Consider the following 13,292-nt stretch of genomic DNA (forward strand, 5'->3'; position numbering starts at 1 on the left):
AAGGAGGGGTTCTCCCCTAGACTTTGCAGATTGGATTTCAGACTCTGGCCATCAAAACTGTGAGAAAATAAATTTCTACTATTTCAAGCCACCATGTTTGTGGCCATTTGTTACAGTAGCCAAAGGAAACGAATACACCCATTATGACATCAGCGTTATGTTTAACCTCTTATTGTCTGATGTACAGTAGAGAATTATAATGAAGGATTGAACCAAGAGGGTGACTGGGCTGAGTACACAGGCAGGTCTGCCCCTAATCCGAGAGATGACAGAAAATCTTTTGTTGTTGTTTTATCTACAATAGAGATACCCTCAGGGGACTGGAAATTAAGAGAAATATCTGTGTATAGAACACAAATGAGAGTGAATTTAAAATCAAAAACAATGCCCCAAATCTGTATATTAGAGAACTTCTGCAAAAGGTGGTAACTGTTGCAGGGATGCCCCAAGTTCTGTGGTAGGAAATAAAGAGGACTCTAAGGGACCCTAGAGATGAACTCTTGGGAAGATTTGTCCAAGCACCAATAAATGACCATCTAAGAGGTCACTCCTTCTCCCTGATGAGCAGGTGGTAGACTAGTGGAGTCATTAGCCCCCAGGTTGGGCAGTACGCATGGGCTCTTGGGCAGAACCCAGATTGGAGGGTGAATTCTCCACAACCAGAAGACCAGGCCATGTTGCCTTACAGACAGTCCTTCTGCCCTGAAATCACTGTAGGCAGTCTGTGGTAAGCAGATGAAACATTCGTAGACACACCAAAGGAATCTGACATTCAGAAATTAGCATGCCAACTGAAAGAGGAGGGGTTGTATAACTGAGAATCAGCAATAAGTTCGTTAGTGGCTATGAAAATACCATTAGATAGAAAAAATAAGTTCCAGTATTTAATCATACAGCAGAAAAATTATAGTTAACAATAATGTATTCTATATTTCAAAATAGCTAGAAGAGAAGGATTGTAATGTTCCAAACACAAAGAAAAGATAAGTGTTTCACCAGGGCCTGTCGTGGGGTGGGGGGAGTGGAGAAGGATAGCATTAGGAGATATACCTAATGTAAATGACAAGTTAATGGGTGCAGCACACCAACGTGGCACATGTATACATATGTAACAAACCTGCACGTTGTGCACATGTACCCTAGAACTTAAAGTATAATAATAAAAATAAAATAAAATAAAGAAAAGATAGTGTTTGAGGTGATGGATATTTCAATACCCTGATTTGGTCATTTCACGTTGTATACGAGCATCAGCATATCACATGTACCCCAAAAATACGTACAACTATAGTATATCAATTAAAAATGCCCAAAAAATTAAAAAGAAAAATAAATATCATGAAGGGAACATCTCTCCACAAATTGAGGAACTTGTATACAAGTGTGGCAGACTTTGCTAGACACCTACCCAATATCCATTCTCTTTTTCTTCCTTACTACCAGAACCTTCAGTGACTGATTGATTGACCAGAACACTGCTGCTCAAGCATATGAGAGGATATAGATCTGGCTGGTGAGATAGAAGTCTGCTGAGTATTTTTGGGCATTTCCTTTCCTAATTATAGCAAAACCTGCTAGTTGTCTCCTCATATTCATTTTTCTTTTCTGTATTCATTTTGAAACCCTTGATTTTAGCCAGACCTATGGCCACCCAAGTGAGAAAAAATATAGACTACATTTACCCTTGCAGCCCCCTAAGTGGCTAAGTGTAACTACATGACTAAGTTCTGGGCAATAATCAAATGTGTGGTGGCATAATCAGATGTGTGGTGGACAACTTCCAAGATGAAACTATAAAAGGACCATTTATCCCCTCCTCTTCTTCCACTTTTTTGCTTGCTCAGATAAAGAAATGATGGTTGGATCTTGAGCAACCAAGATGAATTATATTGAAAGAACTACAGGTTTTGAATGACAGAACAAAAACATAAAAGAAGCATAGGTTCCTGGTGTCATGTGGTAGAATGTCAGCTCTCCAGATTTCATTAATATAAGAACTAGATAAGCTTTACATCACTATAATTTTAGATTTTTGTCATACGCACCAGTTATACTAATATAGACATCAATTTTTTTTATTTTGTCTCCTTTCTCTGGCCTAAAATGTATACCCAGTGCTAAGGTATGCAGCCATCTTGCATACCTGAGGATGAGGTGCATGTGCTCAGAATGGTAGCATGAAAAGATGGAAGGAAACGGGTCCCTGGATGCTCCTTCCTAGACTTCTTAATTCACAACAAAAATGAACCCATTACATGTTTAAGCTACAGTTGGTGGTAATTTATGTTACTTGCAGCTAAATATAATCTTATCTAATACATCTCAAAGGAAAAAAGGCTGATACAGGAAAAAATTGTTGTATTCATTAAATAAGAACAGGCTGGTACAAAAATGAACCAATTATAAGTATTGAAAATGAAAATATAAATGGCTGAGAACAGTTGTAGAACAAATTAATGAGCTAAGAGGGCTAATTCTTCTGGATCACAGCGAAACAGAAAATTAAATGAAGAATGTAAACACTGTTTTATTAGCTTCCTAGCACTGCAGTAACTGGGTGGCTTAAACAACAGAAATTTATTGTATCAGTTCTGGATGCTAAAAGCCCAAGATCAAAGTGTTGGCAGGATTGCCTTCATCTGAGGGCTGTGAGGGAGAATCTTGTTCCATGCCTTTCTCCTAGCTTCTGGTGGTTTGCTGGAAACCTCTGGCATTCCTTGACTTGTAAATGCACCACTCTGACCTCTGTTTCCATGTTCACATGGTGCTCTCCTTGTGTGTGTGTCTGTGTCCAAATTTCTTCTTTTTACAAGAACACTAGTCATGCTGGATTAAGGTGCAGCAATTCAACCCATAACAGCAGTTCAAGACAAGGAGAAAAGATAAGAGGAGGCCTAATATCCATATCATAGAAGTTCAAAGGTAAGAAAGACAAAATTGAAGAATGGAAATTTTTTTAAATGAATAATGGTAGAAAATTTTCCTGAGCCAAAGAATGACATGAGTTCACATGTACAGAGAACCCACTGATTACTGAGGAAGATAAATGTGAAAAAAGACCCACTCCTAGTCAAATCATAATAAAATTTGACAATAGGAATAAACACAAAAATTTCGTTAACATCCAAAATCTTTAAAAATTACACTTCAAAATAACAAAAATTAGATTAGCATTAGACTTCACAAGAACACTACTGGAGGCAAGAAGACAGTGGAGCAATACACTCAGAGTTTTAACAGAAAATTAGTTTGAATTATCATTCAAGTGAGAGGAAAAATTAAAAATTGTGTCAATTAGCAGTTAAGTAACTATTGATCCAACTGCAATTCCACGAGTGGGAACTAAGTAGTCCCAGCCAGCCAGAGCAATCCAGTCCTCTTGCTATGACTTGGCTCAGAAATGAGTATGTGACACATTCCAGCTGAGGCACCAGGAGAAATTTGTTGGGTCTCTAGAAAAGCCTCTTCCAGCACACCAACATGGCCCATGTATACATATGTAACAAACCTGCACGTTGTGCACATGTACCCTAAAACTTAAAGTGTAATAATAATAAAATTTAAAAAATAAATAAATAAAAAACAAAATAAAATAAAATAAAAAATAAAAAAAAGAAAAGCCTCTTCCTTATTCTCCTGGGACTGGATCTGTTCCTCCCATTGGAAATGGACACAAAAACAGATCATCCATTGCTCACCCACATCACAAAAGGTACCATATTTAAGATGAAACTGGCATCCATGCCTTTCTCAACTGAAGTTCTACGGGAGAATTAAAGCCTGCTGAAAATGACTTGTGTGACTGTTTCATCAACTCTCTAAAGTATGATACAGACTTAGATACCATGCTAGATGCATAGGAGATAGGTTAATTTATTACATTCAATGGGTGTCTTATGTCATTAGTGCTTCATTTCTACAGTGGGGTGAGAAGAGCAAATCTACAGGCTCAATCCAGCCCACCACCTGGTTTATTGGAACCCTGGGCTCATTTGCTTACATATTATGTATGACTACTTTCACACTGCAAAGGTAAGTTTGAATAGTTGTGATAGAGATTATATGGCCTCCAAAACCTAAAATACTTGCTATCTTGTTGTTTACAGGACAAGTTTGCCAGCCCGACTCTAGAGAAATCTCAGCTGAGAAAGTCTGCAAAGAAATTTGGCTGTGTCTACCTTGGTCTTTACCTCATTATCAATGAGCAGGGGCTAATTTCTTCACCTGCAACCCTATTGCACGGTCATTATCAGGACTGAGTCAATAACTGCAAAACATTTCAAATAGAGCCACATGGTAAGCACTCAGAAAATGTTAGCTCTTCTTCCAAGCCAGATACCAACTTCCATTTACTTATTCTGCAGGTTGGTAGTTTGGCCTGGGCTCAACTGGATCGTTCTTCTGACATTGGCTAGACTCGCTTTTGCAGCTGCAAGTCAGATTTAGGCAGCTCTGCTTCTCTGGGTAGCCCCGGCCAGGATGATCCCAATCACATGTCTGGCAGATAGTTACCTGTCACCAGGGCAGCTGGGCCATGTGGTATTTAGTGAGCCTCTGGTTCCCTTCCTACTTCAGTCCCTTTTGGATCCCCCTAGCCCCCACAAAAAGCCATCTTTTTACATTATGAAGCCATGTTTTACATTATGCATGATCTACATCAAGTTATATCTTGACCTGATTGAAATATCAAACAAACATTTAAGTACTTACTAAAGTCAATACTCTATGAAATGGCTTTGCTTTTTCCTTACTTTTGAAATTCAAAACTTTATTTGAACAGAAGCCAACTGGCTTTTCATGGTGGCTAGGGGGTTCCAAAAGGGACTGAAGTAAGGAAGGCTTCCTATGGTCTAGACTTGAAACTGGAGCAGTATTACTTCCACTGTGTTTCATTAGTCAAAGAAATTGCAAGCCCAGCTCATATTCGAAGAGTGGGGAGATAGATTCCACTTCCTGAAGAAAGGAGCTACAGAGCCCCTTTGCAAAGGGACATGTATACGAGAAAGAATAATTGCAATCATTTATATGCATGATCTATAACTAGTTAATATAGCTTAACCGAATTGAAATATCAAACAAACATTTAAGTACTTACTAAATGTCAATACGAAACAGCTTTGCTTTTTCCTTCCTTTTGAAATTCAAAACTTCATTTGAACAGAGGCCTTTTAAAAGTAAATAAATAAGTTCTTTTGCTCTTAGTACGTGTGTGTCTATGGGAGGACATCTGAATGCATGTAGTAATGAACCATCTTTGGCACCATGGACTCATGAAATTCAGCTGATTGATCCTCAGTCCTCTCTCCATCTATAGCAACATGCTGAGCTTATTCTTGAATTTTAATTCCTCTTCAAATGAAACTGCAAAATAAAACTCTAATTTTGTTTTAAGTGCATAAAGTGAAAGAAAATTTTATCTCTTGGTGTTTGTTAACTTGTTATGAACATCTTCATAATGTAAAAACATTGCAATATACCAAACACATTATCTTCGAAAATAAAAGAGTAACTTAACTTTTTCCTTCACTTAAAAATGGAAATAACAAATAATGATAAAAAATTGGAGAAGAATCTAACAGTGTTCTGAGACCTCCCAGCCTTCCTTTCTTCAAGTGTGTAAATCATTAAGTATTCAAATGATTAATGCAGTCATGATCAAGCTTACCAGAATAAATCATTTATATGTCCACCCTTGGCTATGCAGCTTCATTAGTGCTCTTAGGAAAATTAAGATGTCTTCACATTCCAGCCTAACAAAGTGTTCTAGTCTCTCCTACCACTTTACGTATGAGCTTGCCAGGGCTTTTTCTATTAATTAGATTTGTTTTCTCCCCTCCACCTCCAATTTTGAGCATGGTTTATATCCCCTTGCTTTCTGAAGCCTGGCTTCAAACCATGTGAGATAGCAAAAGAGTATCTTTTTTGAAATGCAACTGGAAAAAGAGAAAACATCTTGACTTTTAGCATAATAATAAGAGGAAAGAATAGTAAACCTATAAGGCACTTAGGGTATGTCAGGCACTCTTCTAAGTAGTTTATAGACATTAAGTTATTAATCTTCACAAAATCCCACAGTATAATATAGATGTTATAGAATAACATATATAAACATATGTCAAATATTTTCCTCATTTTATAGATAAGAAAACTGAGAAACAGAGAGGTTAAAAGCTTGCGCCAGGTCACACAGCTAAGCAATAGAACTGGGATTTGGTACCAGGCAATCTGGTTTCAGTACTCATTAATTTAGCCATTATACTATGCTGCCTCTCCATGAAAACACCCAGGAAGTATGTTGACATAAAAGATATAATTGTAGTGTAGATACTTGCTCCTGAGGTTGGACCAATGAGCAGCATTTCAATTCATCTTTTCTTATTCCAGATTCATCCTGGGGAAAACCAAATGCAGTTCAATGACTGATACCAAGGGCCAAAAAGAAGGAGTGGGCATTGGGGATTAGGGTTGGGGTCATGGAAAGAAGACAGCTCTGCGGGAAGCAAGGTATATCAAGGTGAAGAGAGTATATCTGGGAGGGAGATGCTCCAGAACTGGATGGGAAGGGGGTGGCAGCATTGGGGATCACACAGCCTCTCATAAAGAAATGCCGTGCACACTCACAATGAGGCAGAATGCGCTGAACAAAGTAAGTGCACCACTCACAGTTCCCTGCCCAAACAGGATCTTAACATGCGTGACCACTGACTTCAGCCTACAGTAAAGATCTGCCTGTACATTATCTGTGTCTGCTAAGCTAATACTTTTCCTCTAATGCATTTTCTCACTCCAGCCTTCTCAGATTAAGAGGATTATAAGGGGTGTTATTACATCTTGATAAACTGCAAAATGGTCTTCCTCTTTCTCTCTTTCTCAGTCCTCATTCCCTTTTTCTGTCCGTATTGAGGTGCAAACATGTTGTTTCCTCCAAATGAAATGTATATGTTAATTTATTTGATGGGCTTGACAAAATGGCTCTAAAATAAAATGCCAATACTCTCTAAATGGTCACAAATAAAGGGCCCTGGACCTTTCCAATAATTTATAGTGATGTCATACGCAATGATGACATTATGTTCAGAAGAGCAAGCCAGTTATAAACACAGTTAGGATAATCCAAAAAGGAATGAGGGGTAGCAGGGTTGCATCCCTAGACACTGCAGTGCAGATCCCTATGGCTCTGGACCAAGACCATGACCTCTGTCAGAGAACTACTCTCAGTTTGAAAAACAGCTCTTGACATGCTACTAGCTGGAGACTGGGCACCCACCTGGAACACCACGTGACAAAACAACCGGAGGTAGGCTTGATGAGCTGGGGGAATCAGTAAGTCACAATATCTGTGGTACTTGGCGACTGGGTTTAGGCAGATCCAGAAGATGTGAGATACTCAAATGCATAGAATACCCAGGCTCCTACTGCTATTGGACTGGTGCATTTTCTTCCATCCATACCTATGGCTTCGTGAAGAGTTTTCTATAAACAAACATCAGAAGAAGAAAAGACTTAGGCCCAGTTCACAGTTATGTTGGTGCTAGCTAGAAATGTACCACCACCACAATACAGCCCTACTCAGAGAAGCCCCAGAAAACACTGATGAGGAGAGATTCTCCCAGTGAGGAGATTTCCAAGCTGTAAACTTGATTAGAGAATTAGCCTGAGATATGGATGAAACAGGCACTTAGACATCAACAAATGCCTTGGCTGAATTTTCAGAGCACTGAAGGCAATAAGTCTGAAAGATTGGTTACTACGAATTGTGGTGAGGTCTATGGATGGATTTATGGGAGTGGGCACAAAATGTGGATGTTTGTGTCTCACATGAATGCTTACCAGAAATTATCTATTGCAGAAGAGGAACTCAAACATCAGATGAATGGAATCACATATTTTATGGAAGTCAGCCAAGCCTCAAGAGACCCTTGAACCAAGCAGCTATGGCAGCAGGGATGGCAGGTCTACACAGGATCAACAACATAGATTCCCTTCCACCAAGTCTAAGCCAGCAACTGCCACTGCTGAGTGCTCAATCCCTCAATGAAGAGAACAACACACAGCCCTTGATATGACACCATTCATCACTGGACATCTCCACCTTAAGGGGACAGAAGCTCATCTTTATCAGAATCTATACCTACTTCATATCACCTTCCCTGCCTTCATTGCCTCTGCCAGCTCCAGCAACTGGGAGTTTATAGGATGCCTAATCTCAACATGGCACTCTGCATTATGTCTTCTCAAACCTCTCATCTTAAGGAGGTACAAGAGTGGGCCCATGACCATAGGATTTCCTGGTCCTACTATCTACCCCATTACCAGAAACAGCCAGCCTGACAGAACAGTGGAGGAGCTTACTGAAGACTCAGTTGAAGAGTCTGCATGGGAATAACATTTTATAGGGTTGGGGCACTGTTCTCCAGGATATAATATAGTTGATCCTTGAACAATGTAGGGGTTAATGGCACTGACCCCTACACAGTTGAAAATTTGTGAATAACTTTTGACTTTCCAAAAACTTGACTATTAATGACCTACTCTTGACCAGAAACCTTACCAATAACATAAGCAGTCAATTAACACATGTTTTTATGTTATATGTATTATATACTCTATTGGTACAATAAAATAAGCTAGGGAGATGAAAATGTTACTAACAAAATCATAAAGAAGAGAAAATATATTTACTATTCATTAAGTGTGAGTGGATCATTATAAAGGTCTCCATCTTCATCATCTTCTCATTGAGTAGGCTGAAGATGAGGAGGAAGAGAAGAGGTTGGTCTTGCTATCTCAGAGGTGGCAGAGGTGGAAGAAAATCCACATATAAGGGGACCCAAGCAGCTCAAACCCATGTTGTTCAAGGGTCAACTGCATATGCCCTAAATCAAAGGCCTATGTATGGTACTGTGTCTCCAATAGCTAAACTACATGAATCTAGGAATCAATGGGTGAAAGTGGATGTAGCTCCTCTCACCCTTACGCTTCCTAGCAGAATTTATCTTTCTTGTCCTGAAAAGTTAAGCTCTGCCAAGATGGAGTCCCTAGTTCTTATTTGGAATGGGGGATGGGAAGAGGTGAAGAACACTTCAACCAAGTGACAAAATAAGGATTCCACTGAATTGAAAGCAATAACCATTACCACCTGGCCACTTTGGAATCATGCCCATGAACAACCAGGCAAAGAAAAGTTACTTCTTGCTGAGGTAATCAATACTGATTACCATGAGGAGTTGGGATGTCTACTCCATCATAGAATAGAAAGGGTTATGTCTCAAACCCAGAGGAATCGCAGGGTATCCTTTAATACTTATATTGTTTTCTAATAACTATTATAGACCACAGACAAAGCCACTAAGGACTCAAACCACTTAGTGATGATGAAACTGGAATTCCTACCAGGCTAGCAACCAAGACCAGCAAATGTGCTTTCCTGGGGAGACAAGAAATCTAAAATGAGAATATCAGTTATATTATTGGGATCAGCTACAGCAGTAGGAATTGTGGCTTAGTTCATTAACCCTCTTTAAGTGTCTTTAGGAGATTGCAACTTATGTGGATTCCTTGACCAAGTGATGTGTACCTCCCATGTCAGAGAAAAAAATAGGGGCATCTTGGTCTTACAAAACTGAAGACCCAGTACTGCCACATGAGAGCCAGGTGTCAGAGGACAGAGACAGAGCTTATGCATCTTACAGATCATTTTAGCCTTGTCGGCCTCCTAGGCAGGCCCGCAGCCACTTCATCTTCTACCCTTGGTAGCTGTCTTACTTAGCCTTGCCCTGGGTGAAGACCAGATTCTGGCAGGAGCAACAGCAGCTCAGGTGCCCACCTCAACCCATCCAGGTCCACAGAAGCTCTAGCTTCTCCAGAAGCTGCCCACAGAGTCCAGATACAAAACCAGAACTGCAAGGGAGCCAGTGCCCTATGGGGCAAATGTTAAGAGACAGAAAACAGGAAAAAGCCATCAGAGAAATTCTTCTTACTTCCTTTCTCTGAGGTGCTGTGGGTTTTCTATGGCTTGGCTGGAGGCATACTACATGACTGAGCACCTGGTTGTTTCCTCATGAAGGTGTGGTCACCTTATATCTACTTAGCCTCCCTCCATGCCCCAAGCCCCTTCTTTCCTTACTCTTGTTATCCTGGAATTGCACCTCCCAAGAAAGCATTAGCACATAAGATTTGCCTAAGTTTCTACTTTCTAGAGAATATAAATGGAAATTATGTCTATCAGACTCACTTAGGGAGCTGTTTCAAATGATAAATACACCACCGTGATACTCCGTTGATATATTTTATTCTTCAAGTTCATAGGGATGAGAAAAGGTGTAACGTTAGACTTAGAAATAGTTGACCTAAGTTTGATCCTAACTCTGCTACTTACTGTGTGACATTAAGTAATTTGCTGAACCTCTCTGAGCCTCATTCCTTCATCTGGTCAACAAAGGGTCAGCATGATAACATGGGTTCTCAGGGAGGACTGCTTGGGGTGACTGTGAATCTTTAGGCAATTTACATACATCTCTAAGCCTCAGTTTTCTCATGTGTGAAATGGAGATAGTAATACAATCTACCTAACAGGTTTGTTTTGAGGATTCAATGAGATCATCATTCATGCAAAGCTTTTGTAAAGTGCCTTGTCTATTATCATCTGTGAAAAGGAGTAAAAAGCTGCCCCTTTGAAAGGTTGTGAAGATTAGCTGCCTTCTCCAGGCAGCTGTTGGAGCCATTTGAGTTGGGTCTGGGCACCTAAGCTATTGTAAAGCATGACATAACTATAAAATAATGTTTTTTTCTAGGGGAAAAAATTACTGTGATATAATTTGTGTCTGGTCATTCTTCCCTTCTCCGCTGGTGGAATCCTGGGCCCACTTACATCATCTCTCATCCCAGTGAGTTGATTCTATGCCAACACAGACTTCAGCCCAAATCCAGCCCTACCCCCAATGAAGTTTATCATTTCCTGCCCTGGCTGCACCTCCCTCAAAAAGCAGATGTGGCAAGTAACAACAACAATATTGATAATGTTTCACATTGTTATTCAAGTCCTAATCTGAAATAAATACTCCAAAGATGCAAATCTGGATGGGTTCTTGCCCAAGACTTGGAAGGACAGATTCATATCAAGTGATCTTGTTCTGCTTGACATATGATTTAAAGTATCTCCCTGTGCAAACTAATTTAGAAATAAAGAAAATGGGCTTAGTAAAAATTTTGTCAGGACACATTATATAAGATTTTATAGATTTATGTACAAAATCTGAGCCTATTAGGTTGGCCAAGGATCCCATTACCCTAGTAATCTGGAAAGAAAGAATTCATCTATCCTTTCAACAAATAATTATGTGAGATGGGAACACAACGAGCCCCAGGTTTGCCAACAGATTCAAGTTCCTGGGCAACATTATTAGAGCAGCTATTCTTCCTTTGTACTTGACTCAAAGTCCTGTTATCAATTACCCATGCCCTCGGAGTACCTGACTGACAACAACAACAACAACAAAAGCCATGGGACAACTGAGATCCAATGCCATCATGATTCAGCACAGATACTTTTTAATGGTGACTAAAGCAAACACTAGAGTCCACACTGACCCTGGCCAGTCCTCAGTACCACGTTGACCTCTCCATAATAGCCTCCACAGATATTTCTCTCCCAAGGGATTCCTCTTTGATGACTTATAATTACGATGAAACACTGTAATTCATACAATTAATGCTTTATTCTAAACATCCAGCTCATACCGATTTCCACTGCTTGGCTGATTAAAGGCTGCCTGTTACCAAGAAACTTTGCAGCAATCTCTCCAGTTAATTAATGTTTTCAGGCACTTGCCTGGAAGACAACAACAGCAGAAGTTGCTAATTGCCATTGTTTACCACAAATTGCAAAGTGCCATGGTTACTTCATACTTTTCACTGCGAATGCTATCATCATCATCATCAATATTTATTGACTACCCACTTAAATGTATTCTATTCCACTAAGTGCTTTAATGTGTCTGACAGCATAGCTTGCCAAAGAAGGCTAATCATGAAAATAGCACACCATAGTCTACTGTTCTAATTTTTTTAATAAAAATTATTTTTACTCACTTTTGGAACCTAAAATATAGCAGTATAAAACATTAGTAAAACATCCCTTTATTTGGTAATCTATACCTTTTAGTGTCTGACACATATAGGCTCTCTAAATATTTATGAAATAAATAAAGGTATGAGTGAAGTTTGTAACAGAAGTATTCAGCGAGATCTGAGACTCCAGATGGAAAAAAGGAGACAAAAAAGTAGCTGATGTTGACACTTCTCAAAAGAAGACATTTATGCAGCCAAAAAACACATGAAAAAATGCTCATCATCACTGGCCATCAGAGAAATGCAAATCAAAACCACAATGAGATACCATCTCACACCAGTTAGAATGGCAATCATTAAAAAGTCAGGAAACAACAGGTGCTGGAGAGGATGTGGAGAAATAAGAACACTTTTACACTGTTGGTGGGACTGTAAACTAGTTCAACCATTGTGGAAGTCAGTGTGGCGATTCCTCAGGGATCTAGAACTAGAAATACCATTTGACCCTGCCATCCCATTACTGGCTATATACCCAAAGGATTATAAATCATGCTGCTATAAAGACACATGCACACGTATGTTTATTGCGGCACTATTCACAATAGCAAAGACTTGGAACCAACCCAAATGTCCAACAATGATAGACTGGATTAAGAAAATGTGGCACATATACACCATGGAATACTATGCAGCCATAAAAAAGGATGAGTTCAAGTCCTTTGTAGGGACATGGATGAAGTTGGAAACCATCATTCTCAGCAAACTATCGCAAGGACAAAAAACCAAACACTGCATGTTCTCACTCATAGGTGGAAATTGAACAATGAGAACACATGGACACAGGAAAGGGAACATCACACACCGGGGCCTTTTGTGGGGTGGGGGGAGGGGGGAGGGATAGCATTAGGAGATATACCTAATGCTAAATGACGAGTTAATGGGTGCAGCACACCAACATGGCACATGTATACATATGTAACAAACCTGCACGTTGTGCACATGTACCCTAAAACTTAAAGTATAATAATAATAATAATAAAAGAAAAAAAGAAAAAAAAATAGCTGATGTCTCTTGAGTGGTGCTCAGAGGCATACCAATCTTTCTCAATCCAACATTGTGTCCAGGGAAAAGAAGTCACTTTTTTTCCTTTAGAGGAAAAAATATTACATAAGGAAAGGCTCTCAGAGGCTCTCTTGAACATTATATGGGCTGACATTGTAGT

At 39.4% G+C, this 13,292-nt stretch overlaps 1 long non-coding RNA gene across 1 annotated transcript; it reads left to right on the top strand.

Moving 5' to 3' along the window:
• Window positions 1-201: 201 nt before the first annotated feature.
• LINC02483 (long intergenic non-protein coding RNA 2483) lies at window positions 202-8,692 on the top strand. Its single transcript, NR_033964.1, has 4 exons — window positions 202-241; window positions 1,444-1,513; window positions 4,107-4,296; window positions 7,850-8,692. It is a non-coding gene; the product is annotated as a long intergenic non-protein coding RNA 2483 (long non-coding RNA).
• The last annotated feature ends 4,600 nt before the right edge of the window (window positions 8,693-13,292 follow it).

This window comes from Homo sapiens, chromosome 4, assembly GCF_000001405.40.
Source record: "Homo sapiens chromosome 4, GRCh38.p14 Primary Assembly".
Lineage (NCBI taxonomy): Eukaryota > Metazoa > Chordata > Mammalia > Primates > Hominidae > Homo > Homo sapiens.